Raw genomic sequence first — 12555 nt, forward strand, 5'->3', positions numbered from 1 at the left:
TTATCATGGCTCCTGTGTGCACATTAAAATTGGGACCATTAAGCCTCAGTCCCCCCATTCCCACAGGCCCAGAGGCCTAATCGGACCTCAGCAGGAAGGCCTGGAACAGAGCCCAGGTGGGAACCTGAAGACTCCAATACAGATCTGTGTAACCTTGAAAGGGGTGTGGTCCACAATACACAGCCTCTCCAACCTGCTTGTAAATGTGTCTTGGAGGGTGTAACAATCTCTGGTTCCTATAAGAATCCAGAACTGCCTGAGGCAGACATTACAATATATGTGAACCTCCTGACAGCACTGGAAACACCTAAGAAATAACTACATAACCCTATTTTATACATGGGTAAACTGAAGCTCAGAGAGGTTAAGAAAGTATAATTTTCCCAAAGGTGCATACAGGGATGCTGTGTACAGTTGTATTGGTTGTGCACTGCACAAGGGTACCCGACCAACAGAGAGCATAAGTGTGGACACAAGCATGCGACTACCTCAGCCTAGAGGAAAGCACAATACTTCAGACTCATTGCCAGGTGGACTGGGTGGCAACTGTGGTCACGTAGCTAGAAATCCCAGAACAGAATCCATTTCTTTCAACTGCCAAAGAAAAGCCTAAAGTTCTATTGAGTCCATCCCATTCCTCTGCACTGTCTTCCTGGTCCCAAACACCCATTTTTGCCCCCTTCTAGGGAAAAGGAAAAAGAAAGGAGTCGCCACTGAGTCAGACCCTGTGAGGTAGGTCAATGATGTCCATCTTAGAGGATGAAACTGAGGCTCTCAGAAAGAGTGCTCAATGTCACACAGAAAGTGGATGGCTGAGTTGGAATTGGAAGCCTTTTGGCTGAAGCCCAAGTCCAGGCTAGGGTGGAGGGATCTCTCCCCCACCCCCAGGCCCTGGGTGGCCCGGCTCTTTCCCTTGATGCTCCAGGGGGCAGCTGGGGAGTGGGCAGGGGGCGTGCCTGGCTGTTTGCTCAGCGATGTCATCTCAGGGCCCTGTGGCCTCACCAGGAAGAGGCGGTGAAGAAACTCCGTTCACCATCTGCTCCCCCTCAGTGGGACAGCAGCTGCAGCCTTCTCCCGCATCCCCCAGCCTGCTTTGGGCATTGGCCACCAAGACAACCTCCCACACCCAAAGGCTGACAGGGAAGGAGAGCACAGCTGGAGCTCCCTCCACCTGCCCCCATAGAAGACGCTCGCAGAGCCCACAGGCTACAGGGAGGGTAGGGCATGGGTACAGACTCCCTGGGATGAGGGAGGAACAAGCCGAGGCTACCAGTCCTCCTGGCACCAGATCAGAGAATGCTTTACCTGACAAGGTGGCATTTGCAACAGGTCTTGATCAATGGGAAGATTTGGACCCATCGAGGGGAGAGCCGCGAGGCAAAGGCCTGGCAGCAGGAAGCATAAATGGCAAAGCGGGGGCGGCTGAGGTGAAAGCAGAGGGTGTCTCAAGGACTCATGGGCCAGCAGCCCAGAGAAGGCGGCTTCACACACTGGGCTGAGGAGTTTTGCCCTTCACCTGGTGACAGCAGGGAGCTACAAGAGTTTTCAGAGTAGGGGAGGCCTTGGTAAGAGTCATGATTCAGAAGGAGTGCCCTGGCACTTGGCGTTAAAAGTGGACTGTCTAGCGATGGCTGCTGCATGGGTCCAGGAGAGGTCTGTGTTCCACCCCTGGCAGTGCCCCAGAAGGGCAGGGGGTGGATTGGAAGCATAGAATGGCAGGAAAAGCAACTGGTCTTGGCAACTTGGCAACAGATGGAGAGGAGAGGGAGGGAGACAGAGAAGGGAAGACCGCCCCTGGGAACCTAATATGTGCCAGGGCAGCTTTTGCCATCTGACTCCTCACTGATGGTCTCAATAACACGTTGAGGTGAAGTATTGCATCCCCATTTTACAGATGAGCAAACTGAGGCTCAGAGAGGGCAATGTCTTACCCAAACAGAATTCTAGCTTCTTCTGACTCCAAACTCTGAATTCTTCCCATTGCCTCAAGTATTTTGCTAGCCTATGGGACCTGCAGGGAACATGCAGGCTAAGCTGCTGTTCTTGGAGCAACTTCTGGTGTAAAAGCTTTAGGGCAGCAGGCGGGGGGATGCCTGGGGGCAGGAGCCGGTATAGATCAGGGATCTAGCTCAAAGGGATAACGGAGGGAGGAGTCCTCAAAGCCACAAGGACAAGCCAGGGATGTGATAAGAAAATGTGTATCAGACCCACAGGTCTAACCCTGACAGTGCCTGTGAACCCAGCTACAATCCAGGCAAGCGTCTCCCTCCTCCTGCAAATTCCCCTATCCTAGTGGGAGGAGGGAGTGGCTATCAAGTCATCAAATTTGAGGAGCAATCTTCCTGTCTCCTGTCTCCTTTATGGGCACACACAGATACACAAAGTCCCAGTCACTATCACACAGGCTACAACGTATCACATGCTCAGCCACAGACTCACACGCTCACACAAGCACACGAGCACACGCACACAAGGCCTTGCTCACATATGGTCACACACACACACACACACACACACACAGTCACACGGAAACAGAGGGCTGTTCCAGGAAGGCCTGTCACTCAGGCATGGGAAGGTTGGGAAGTGTCCTTGGACATATTTATTGCCATTGTCTGGGACAGGAAGTTGCCTCTCTGACCTTTGGGGGATGCGGGGTGAGAGTGGTGCCATCCGTCTACCATGAGGCCAGCTCAGGCCTGCCTCTGGGGTAGGGTGACCAGAGGGTGGTCAGGGCAGCTGGGAAGTGCTATGGAAGAGACAGCACGCCCTCCAGAAGAGCAGGCACGCCTGGGGCAGATGTGGGTTCCTGTCCTCTTGCCAGCCTCGCTCGCTGGCTTTGACCTTGGGCAAATCACTTCACCTCTCTGAGTTGGCAATGTCCAGCCATAAAAGATAATGACACCAACCTCACAAGGCATCTGGGCATGCTCACTCAGATAATCGCTGTCCAGTGCCAGGCAGGGACCTGGCAAATGTGGCAATAACCATCGTTGTTTGTGACAGCCGCAGGAGTTGGTGTACAAGTGGAGACAAGGCCTGCTCCGGCTCAGAGGCAGGGCTGGTGGGGGTGGCAAGGGTAGCTGCCCAGTGGGCAAGGCGCATGGCTGGCTGGACCACAGCCCTCTGTATGCTTGCAGAAACCATGCCAGCCCCCAGCATTAGCTGGCCCCAGAAGAGGAAGGAGCAGAGCCTGAGGAGCCTCAGAGTGTGGGGCTGACACTGGGCACCTTCTCCCACCTGAGTCCTGGAGCAGGGGAGCCATAGGCACCAGGAGGCTGGGACGGGGCAGCAGACTTCAGAGGCAGCTCTAGAGTGGGCCCCAGCAGTATGTGGCCGAGAACTAGACAGGCTCCTTGGCTTCCTCCAGCAAGCTCTGACACAGGAGAGGAGGAGCACAGATTCTAAAGGCTGGCTAGTGGAATCCCTACCTTTCTTTAGGAGCACCAAAATCTGGGGGCTGCAGAGAAAGGGAGCACAGCCCTAAGTAAGGGTAAAGGAAACCCTCCAAAAGAGGAAAGGTGCACAGCCGGCAGCCCCGCCCCCTAGTGGCCACAGGCACTCACTACAGCCTAATTGCAAAGTAGCTTTGGCTTTGTTCTAAGGCCCTCATTCTCCGCCTGGTCGCTCCGGGAACAGGGCCTGAAACAGCACAATGTGGTGGTGAATGGCGCAGACATTGGAGCTGAATGGCCTAGGTTCAAAACCCCAGCTTTACTGTTGCTATTATTACCTGTGCCACTTACAAGCTGGATGACCTTGGGCAAGGGACTTCATTTCTGTGGCTCTGCAAGATGAAGTTGATAATAAGAGTATCTACTACACACAGTTACTTCAAAGAGTAAGTATGATAATCCACATCAGGTGCTTAGGATAAGTAATATTAAGTAACAGGAACTTTTAATAAAGAGTAGCTGTCCAATTCTGTACTTCTGAGGTCAGCATCGCTTAGGGGTACTGCAGGAGAGCTGGGGGTTGAAGCCCTGACCTAGGGTTGAATTCTGGTTCTGACGCAGTCAGCTACCAAGTCTCTGCTCTGTACATGTTGACTAGTCACATATATTAAGGGAAGAGTCCAAGGAGGTAAGCTCAAAAATCACTCTTGAAAATCCTTTGGGAAGGCAGCACTTTTGTGGATAAACATGTCTCAATAAGCCCAACCCGGCCAGTTTTTCTAGTTCTTGGTTGAAGTCTGTCTTTGAGCATTGGAGGAAGCTGCTGGCTTGAACCCAAGACAATGCTGCACGAAACACATGTCTCTTTATCCACCGGAATTGACTCAGTAATGAGATGCTCACGCAGAAGGTACATGGAAGCAAATACCAGTTATAGACTCAGATTTGAATCTTCCATCTCACACTCAGGGGCACATGTCCATCACAGGTGGATACTCCACCATTACATTATTTAAAATTTCCATTCCTTCTCTCTTTGGCCAAGTATATACAACTGAATTTACATGCTTTGATTGAACGCATTCATGATACAACTCCATTGTGTCTCACCTCTCCAAAGCTGTTTCTTCTTCTGTAAAATGAGGGCAGTAACAGTACTACATCATCAGACTATTGTGCAATCAAATAAGACAGTATGTGTAGGAATTTTAAATCGCTGCCAGACAAATGACTTTCATTCCCTTCCCCCAAATTTTCCCTAACTAACTGTGTGAAACGTGAGCAGACCCTTCCCTCTCTGGGTCTCAATGTTCTCCAACAACAAAATGTGGGGGTTGTGTTAGTTGATTTCTAAGGCCCCTTCCAGCTTGAAGCTTTTAGGATAGTGCTGTAATTCTAGGGCATTTAATGCAGTCAAACCTTCAATGCATTTGATCTTAGCCAAAAGGCCAAGAAGCTATCAAGCCTTCAGTGAATGTTAACTGATGCTTACATGGTTTTTCCAGGACTCCTTTACCCAACTGATAAGGGTCACATCTATAAACAGCAGCCCTTTGCACACTGTAGTATCTTAAAACCTTGAGAATTACACATGCATCTTAATCGCCTTTTCATTTGATCAGCAGAAGTATACTTCAGCTGCATCTGAATCAGCACAAGGTGACTACATTTAGTGGTGCCCTTACTACAGTCCTTCAGAGGCACCGCGAATGACAAATGCTTACCTGTGATGGGAGTGAAGCACAGCTTTCCCTCCAAGGAACACACACGGACACATGGACACACACACGGAGGATAGTCACTATCCTTGGCTTTGGGAAAATTCCTCTTTTTAGATAGCAGTGAGGTAAAAGGAAATGAACTCTGGAGTTAGGTCTGGACTGAATTATTCCAGCTCCTCTATTAGCTGTGAGAATTTGGGCAGGTTAACTTTTCTGGGCCTTGTTTCCCTATCTGTAAAACTGCCAAAGATGTTTCTGGTGGCATTGTGTGGGTTACGTTAGCAGCAGCCTGAGGCTTTGGGTAGATCATGGGATTGATGAAAAGGTCCCCCTTCTAGAGTGGGAGGGACTCCAGGTTAATCTCACTTCCAGCCACATGGCTGGTCTGCCCGTTGCTTAGCCTCTCCGGGCCTGTTTCCACATCAGTGAAGTGGGGACAGCATTTCTCACAGAATTGCTACGCTCAGCTCTTGACCAGCAGCCCTGCACTTCTCTTGCCTCAACCCACAACCCCCATGCTAAGGTAGCTCCCATGCCTTGCCCAAGGTAATGGTATAAATGGCAATACCTCCTCCCATCTGTCTGGGACCCTTTGAAGACTCAACTTGGTAGCCCATACCTGGAGCCTCTCCTAAACCACGGCCCCAATCCTCAGTATGACCTAACTCCGCATCACCAGAATCTTGCCTTACCAGAGCATACCTTCAGAATAGCCTCCCTGGGCTGGCATTTGCTACCTGTCCTGGGCAAGTCTGCACCCTCTAAAGGCAGGAACTGCGGCTTCCTCATCTCTGGATTTCTCATGAGAGGGCTTAACACAGAATATGTGCTCAGCAAATGTAAAGCCCCACTTTCACCTTTTGGAAATAGCTCTGGGAAGGCAGTGCTGGGGACAAGATGGGGCAAGGGCAGGGGGTAGGGAGAGGGGAATTCCCTCAGTAAGTATGAGAGGATTGTGCAAAAAACATGATGCCTGGAATCAAATGACCTGGATTCAAACCTCTGCTCTATCACCTGCCAACTGAAGAATCTAGACAAGTTTCTATACCTCTATCTGAGCTGTTCCCATGTCGGTAAAAGGAGGACCACAATATCTACTTAGCACAGCACCTGGCACATACTGAGTACCAGTATGCTTTATGTCCCATGTGCTGTCCTAAATGTTTAAATGTACTGATTTATGTAAATCCCACTACAACTCTAGGAGGCAGATACTATCCTCATTGTACTGGCGCTGCAAATAAGGAAAATGAGGCCCAGGGAAATCCAGTGACTTCCCCAAGTTCATGGAGCTAATAAGATGCTCACTAAATGGCAGCAATTACTGTCCTCAGGTAGTAATGCAAAGGACACAATCTCAGTGACCCCAAGGACTCTGGGGTCCTGGCTGTGGGGTTTCTGCACCTGGACTAGCTCCATTCTCACTTCTTCAATTACAGCAAACAACGGAGACCAATCAGTGTTGTAAATAGAGTTAACATAATATATTTATTTTAAGTGCCATTCATGCATATCAGTTCTGGCAGCAACAATCCTAATGACACTTGGAATATTTCTTTACAGCACTAAACAGTTACAAATAATGGTTGCCGTTCATCATAGAGGCAAAATATGAAATCGTGCAATAGCAAAACTGTAGAAACATTAAAACACTGACTGTCCAACAGCAGTACAGAGAGCAGGTTGTATCTGCACAAAAAGCCAATGCATTTTCATCACATATATACAATATAGATATGTACACATCACCCTCTGAATGAACAATATCAAAATACTCTATTCCATTTGAAATTATCCCCGGATTGATTCCCTCCCACTTCAAAGGACATCTGAGCGACACGTATTTACAAGAACACACATGAATACATTTACATTTCAAAAACTGCCACAAATGCCAGTCGGATTATTCTCCTGAACAGAGTGTCCCCATTTGTTTACATGCATTTACTATTCTTTCCCCCTAAAGTCTTCAGTCAATTTAAGCCCAAGACAGAACTTGTTCTGCATTAGCAACTACCATACAAAATGGCCACTAGAGGGACTCTCTGCACCTCACCAGGTAACCCTGTCTGGCCAGGGCCCACAGAAAAGGCCTGTCCTGGGCTCCTGGACCACCTGGATCACAGGAGAGTGGGATGGGTCTGGGTGAAGGCTTTGCCTCCATGGCCATTCTTGCTAAGTTTAAATTCTCATAAAAATATTCATCACTGCAAATCAGTAAATGATTGCCAAATGGGAAATTCGCTTCACACAATTTATAAAATCATCATCAGTGGTTCTACTCAAATCACTCAGTATGAGACTGCATTCCAATATCCAAATTGTTTAAAGTGCACATTGCTACCCAAGCAATTAAAACAGTTTCAAAACAGCTATTTTGGTGTCTAGAAAACAGTGACTTAAGCAAACCATTGAAAATCACCCCTCTTTTTTCAAGCATTTACTCTGCAGGCTGCCATCTCATCTTGCCTCTGATCCTTCTAAGAGGCGCAAGTTGGCTGCCTTTCCAGAATCCTCTGATTTTCGTTGATCCAAGGGGCTGGAACTGAGCTTCCTTTTTCATGCCAAGTAGGGTCCAAACAACAGAGAAACATAAAGCTCTTCCTTTCTCCCCAACCTCACCAGCCCTTACCATGGCTGGCTTCCCAGTGATTCATTCAAGGCAACACTCCATTAAAACACACACACACACACGCGCGCGCACACTCTCACACACAGCACACACACACAGAAACAAAAGATGTTTGTTTAGTTCAAGTAGAGATTACTCAACCATAGAATCACTAAGGCTAATTAAAGTGATTTAGCATGGCTGATAAGACCAGAGATGCTAAAAAGCAACTAGTGAGCAGTTATTACTCTTTGACTTGATGGAATATATTTCCCCATTAGAACTGACACTTTTTGGGGGGTCTAAAGAATCAATTCAAAATCTATTCATTAAAAAAAAACCCTCATTTCTTCTAGTTTTATCATAAAACTAAGATAATCAGTCCATGCAAACTGTGATATGATATGAAACAAAACAAACCACCACCACTAAAAAACCCGTAAGAGGGGCTGCATTTCAAAGAAAGGGACCAAATGTCATGCATACACAGACATACAAGACAACAGAAACAGCAGGCCACATAATATCTACATTAAACACTGAAGCAAATAAAACTGTAAGTGGCTCTATCCTCCTTTCAAGACAACCTAGATGAGTGGGGAAACCTGCTTTAGAAACCCTGCCCTGCTGTTGTTGCCCAAATGAAATCTGATTCAAATTCCAGAAAAATCCGATTTAACTAATAAGTCTGAATCAGCAAGAATGCCAAGACAGAGAAATCTATTCACATGGTAAAAGGAGTGATGATAGAGAATGACACAATGTCTCTCTGAGTGTCTTATCTGTAAATTCTTATCAAGAAAAGTAACGCTGGGCCAGGCGCAGTGGCTCATGTCTGTAATCCCAGCACTCTAGGAGGCTGAGGCAGGCAGACTGCCTGAGCTCAAGAGTTTGCAACCAGCCCAGGCAACATGGTGAAACCCCATCTCTACTAAAATACAAAAAATCAGCCAGGCATGGCGGTGTGCACCTGCACTCCCAGCTACTCGGGAGGCTGAGGCAGGAGAATTGCTTGAACCCGGGAGGCGGAGGTTGCAGTGAGCCGAGATCGTGCCACTGCACTCCAGCCTGGGCAACAGGGCAAGACTCCATCTCAAAAAAAGAAAAAAATAATAATAGTTCTGTGCTTTCAGACACATTTCTCCTTAATGAACCCGACAGGAGCTAAGCATTCACAGAAGGTAGCAATAAATATTAAAATGACACTTTTGAATAATAAATACATAGGTGAATGTGGAAGCACTGATGTGTTTAAAGAGCCAAGCAATGCCCAATTTCTTACCAATCAACAAATTTTAGAGCTATTATAATGCAGATTTAGAAAAGCAGACATAAATACTCTATGATCCCCCAAGCATCAAAACCAATTTGGTCAGTTCTTCATGCTGCTCAGGAGCAACATGCCCCTTCGGATTGTTGGAGTGTGTCAAATTCTGGTTTCCTTGACTTATTAGATAGAATTCATTACCCACATTTCTAAAAAAGATTAAATAAGGGGAACTGGGTTTTGGAAAAAATCTATTTCCTTTCAGTTTCCTACATCAGTTAAAAGCATCCTGCAGAAAATAGCCTAACAAGGAATAAAAACTGACAATAACTTTCAAGACATAATAATCCAATTAGAAAAAACTGAAGCCTTTCAGTAATTTTTGTACATATATTTACACATATGTATCTTTATATAAACTGCTTGCAGCAAAATAGGCTCCGTCTGAAAAATCAGTCTGGCACTTGTGGTTAACATCAAACTGACACAAATATGCAAAAAGCCGTCCAAATCACACAACAGTTAGGAGCTACATAGGGCAGCTGGCAGGGAGACAAACATGTAGTACTTGCTTGGGTCAGATAAAAGCAGTAAGTTATCCAGCTAAAATCCTTCTGATTGTCTTCAAAAGTAATTTTGATAACATTGGTAAAGTGATTAGCAAGTTTGTTTTCTCAACTGGATTCTCTTAAACCTTTCCCTTCACTGCACAGAAAGGTAACGTTAGGGTCTGGTGTCTTGCAGAAACAAGCCCTACACAATTGAATCCCAATCAAAGTCATCCTGGATGTCATCTGGAGGCAGGGAACGCCGCATCTGGAAGGCTTGGGAAGGCATCATGTGCTGCTGGTTCATGGCTCTGTGATGGCCTGGAAGGAAAGAGGCAATAATAGCAGCGACTTGGGTAGAGAAGAAAGTAAGAAATAAACTAACCCCTACTGTGTACTTCCTATATGCCAGGCACACATTATCTCACTAATTCAACCATAAGCCTTCAAAAAGTGGCTCTTATGATCCTTATTTTATAGGTAAGGGGATACGGTTTAAGAGGATGAGTAAATTACCCAAAGTCACACAACCAGTAGGGGACAAAGATAGGATCTGAGGTCAGTTCACTTGATCCACACTCCTTCCATTATACCAGGCTGCAGTAAGGAAGACACGAGAAAAGTGCCAATGTAGCCACTGCTCTTACAGTCTGTTTTGCTCCAATACGTTGTTTCAGTAACATGAATTGGCTCCCATGAGAATGGTAAACAGGATAATGATGGCAGTGCACCAATGACGTCATACTGAATTTTCCCCAGCAAGCTAATTTCTGTGCCACCAAGTAATGTCAAGTGAACACAGAGGACATCAACAAGGGAACACAGGAAACCAGAAGGAACCACAGCTGAGTACAGAATGCCCACCTTCCCATGCTCTTCTTGTACCAGTTTGGCCATGTGCTGTTTATGCTCCCCAATTTTGATTCATTGGGTCTGTGTCTCCACCGTATCTTGACAGACCCCCCCCTTCTAAACCAGCTGCTTTTTAAAAGTAGAGGTTGATATTTACTTGTAGAATTCTTTCTTTTATTACAAATTATACATATCCTTTTAACTGTTGTGGAAGTTTTACTGGATTTTTTTTTAGTACTCTGATTACAAAATTTCAAGTAGTCTGCTACTCATTTTTCTCATATGCCCTGAAATATTTTCTTGTACAATTATTTAATGCTAAGGTTTTCAGTATATCACAATATAGGTAAAATGCCTCCATTTAAAAAAAACTTATAAGTTCCTTAATGTGGGTCAGGCACTAATTTACATGATTCTCATTCAATCCTAACAACTCGAGGACACAGGTAGTTTTATTAGCCCCTTTTACAAACAGGGAAGCTGAGGTAGGAGGGTTAGGTAGCTTGCCTAATATCACACAGCCATTAAGTGGCAAAGCATGAAGATTCAAACACAAGCAATCTGGCTCCAGAGCCTTACCACCTTATGGTGCCACTTACAAATTAGTAGTAAGCACTCACAACAGGTTAACATTCCTTCCCCCTTCAGCAAAGGACATATCACTTGATCCCAACTCCTTCCTCACTGCTGTCTGCCACACAGTTCTTCAAGGTTTTAAATCCACCCCCAACCCCATTACCTTTATGTCTTTTCCTCAAATAGCCTAAGTAAAGGATTGTGTGGTATGTGAGAAAAACAACGGACTCTGAATCCAGACACTGGGGCTTGAGTCTTGATCTGGCCACTCACTAAACTGGGTGGCCTGGGCAAGGCATTTCTCCTTCAGAGCCTCCATTATCCTAAGTGATCTTTAAGATACTTTCCAGCTCTAACAATGTGCCGTATTCCGCTGGCTAAATGAATCCTGCATTCAAGAACCCAGCGGGAAAAGTGTATGAACCACTTAACACCTAAAATTTACCTTCTCTACAAGGTACTTCCCTGGAAACTATAGCTGGGGGAACTCCATAGGAATGAATGAAGCAGAATCTACAGGAGCTAATAAAGTAGGTTCCTAAAACCTGCTAAAGTCCTGTCAAACACCCTCAACTATGACCCCAGGACTTCTTAGAGAGGCAAGACAATAAATAACTAGAATAAGTAGAATCATTGCATCTTGGGCTAATAAGGACTTCAGGTCCTACAGTCCAAACTCCAACTGATGCTTGAATCCCTTTGCTAGCACAAGTGCCAAGTGGCTGTCCAGACATTGTCCCCTAGCCCCTCTTAACAGGGAGTTCACTCCTTGAGGCAGCCTCATTCACCATCGGGAAAGCTAACGCTTCTCAATATTAAACTCTGGGTAACAACTGACACACACACATGCTTCTCAATATTAAACTCTGGGTAATAACTGACACACACACACACACTCTCTCTCTCACCTGCCATCGTTGTTCCTGGAGTGCTCACACACACACACACACACACACACACACTCACTCTCTCTCTCTCTCTTACCTGCCATCGTTGTTCCTGGAGTGCTGAGTGCCTGTGGGATATGAGGATAACCAGGGGGTGGCATCACTGAAGGAGGGAGATTTTGCCTAGAATCTATGTACAAATTTCCTAATCAGATTAAAAGCAGAAAGAGGGAAAACATGTTACCACAAATAAAACAAATGGAGCACTAAAATCTTAACAGAATTGTTACTCTGAAAGTAAATTAAGCAGGTAAAATAAGGAGAAAGGGGGAAGAAAATATTACTCCTTTCAGATGCTAAAATTGTGGTCTTGGCCTTTTGAACAGGGTGCCAGGCCGGGTGTGAACACACTGAACTAATGCTAGCGCTGCCACTAACTGTACGCTGGTAGGCAAGTTATGTCTATTATTGTTGCTATCACATACCTCATTACAATTCAAAAGTATTTTTGTATCCATTACTTCATCTGACCCTCCCACTAAGCCCCAAAGGAGGGTAAGACAGGGATTGTTACACCCATTTTACAGATGAGGCAACTGAAACTCAGAAAGGCTAACCTGACTTGCCCAAAGACACATTAGTTTGACAGTGCTAGGACTACAATCCAGATCTCCTAACTCATGGACTCTCTTTTTTGAGAC

At 46.0% G+C, this 12555-nt stretch overlaps 1 protein-coding gene across 16 annotated transcripts in view, besides 4 other annotated features; it reads right to left on the bottom strand.

Annotated features, from left to right (window-relative positions):
• Positions 2453–2747: an enhancer, noted in NCBI's record as "tiled region #9331; HepG2 Activating non-DNase unmatched - State 18:Pol2, and K562 Activating non-DNase unmatched - State 14:Gen5'". NCBI's record gives its function as "activates a minimal TATA promoter and a strong SV40 promoter by Sharpr-MPRA in HepG2 and K562 cells {active_cell/tissue: HepG2 | K562}" and the evidence as "EXISTENCE:reporter gene assay evidence [ECO:0000049][PMID:27701403]".
• Positions 3098–3315: a silencer, noted in NCBI's record as "fragment chr1:42638734-42638951 (GRCh37/hg19 assembly coordinates)". NCBI's record gives its function as "represses an EF-1alpha promoter that drives an FKBP-Casp9 reporter gene in an ReSE screen in K562 erythroleukemia cells {active_cell/tissue: K562}" and the evidence as "EXISTENCE:reporter gene assay evidence [ECO:0000049][PMID:32094911]".
• Positions 3098–3769: a biological region, named in NCBI's record as "H3K27ac-H3K4me1 hESC enhancer GRCh37_chr1:42638778-42639405".
• Positions 3142–3769: an enhancer, noted in NCBI's record as "H3K27ac-H3K4me1 hESC enhancer chr1:42638778-42639405 (GRCh37/hg19 assembly coordinates)". NCBI's record gives its function as "activates a minimal SCP1, AML or CMV promoter by ChIP-STARR-seq in primed H9 embryonic stem cells {active_cell/tissue: H9 hESC(primed)}" and the evidence as "EXISTENCE:reporter gene assay evidence [ECO:0000049][PMID:30033119]".
• FOXJ3 (forkhead box J3) overlaps positions 6583–12555 on the bottom strand; it is a 159333-nt gene continuing 153360 nt past the window's right edge. For all 16 annotated transcript variants that reach the window (XM_047449488.1, NM_001198850.2, XM_024454163.2 and 13 more), the window contains 2 exons: positions 11952–12059; positions 6583–9860 (listed from right to left, as the gene is read on the bottom strand). In XM_047449488.1, coding sequence (XP_047305444.1) covers positions 9745–9860; positions 11952–12059 — 224 coding nt within the window. In that variant the 3' untranslated portion in view covers positions 6583–9744. The remainder of the gene's footprint in view (positions 9861–11951; positions 12060–12555) is intronic.

This window comes from Homo sapiens, chromosome 1 (assembly GCF_000001405.40).
Source record: "Homo sapiens chromosome 1, GRCh38.p14 Primary Assembly".
Taxonomy (NCBI): Eukaryota; Metazoa; Chordata; class Mammalia; order Primates; family Hominidae; genus Homo; species Homo sapiens.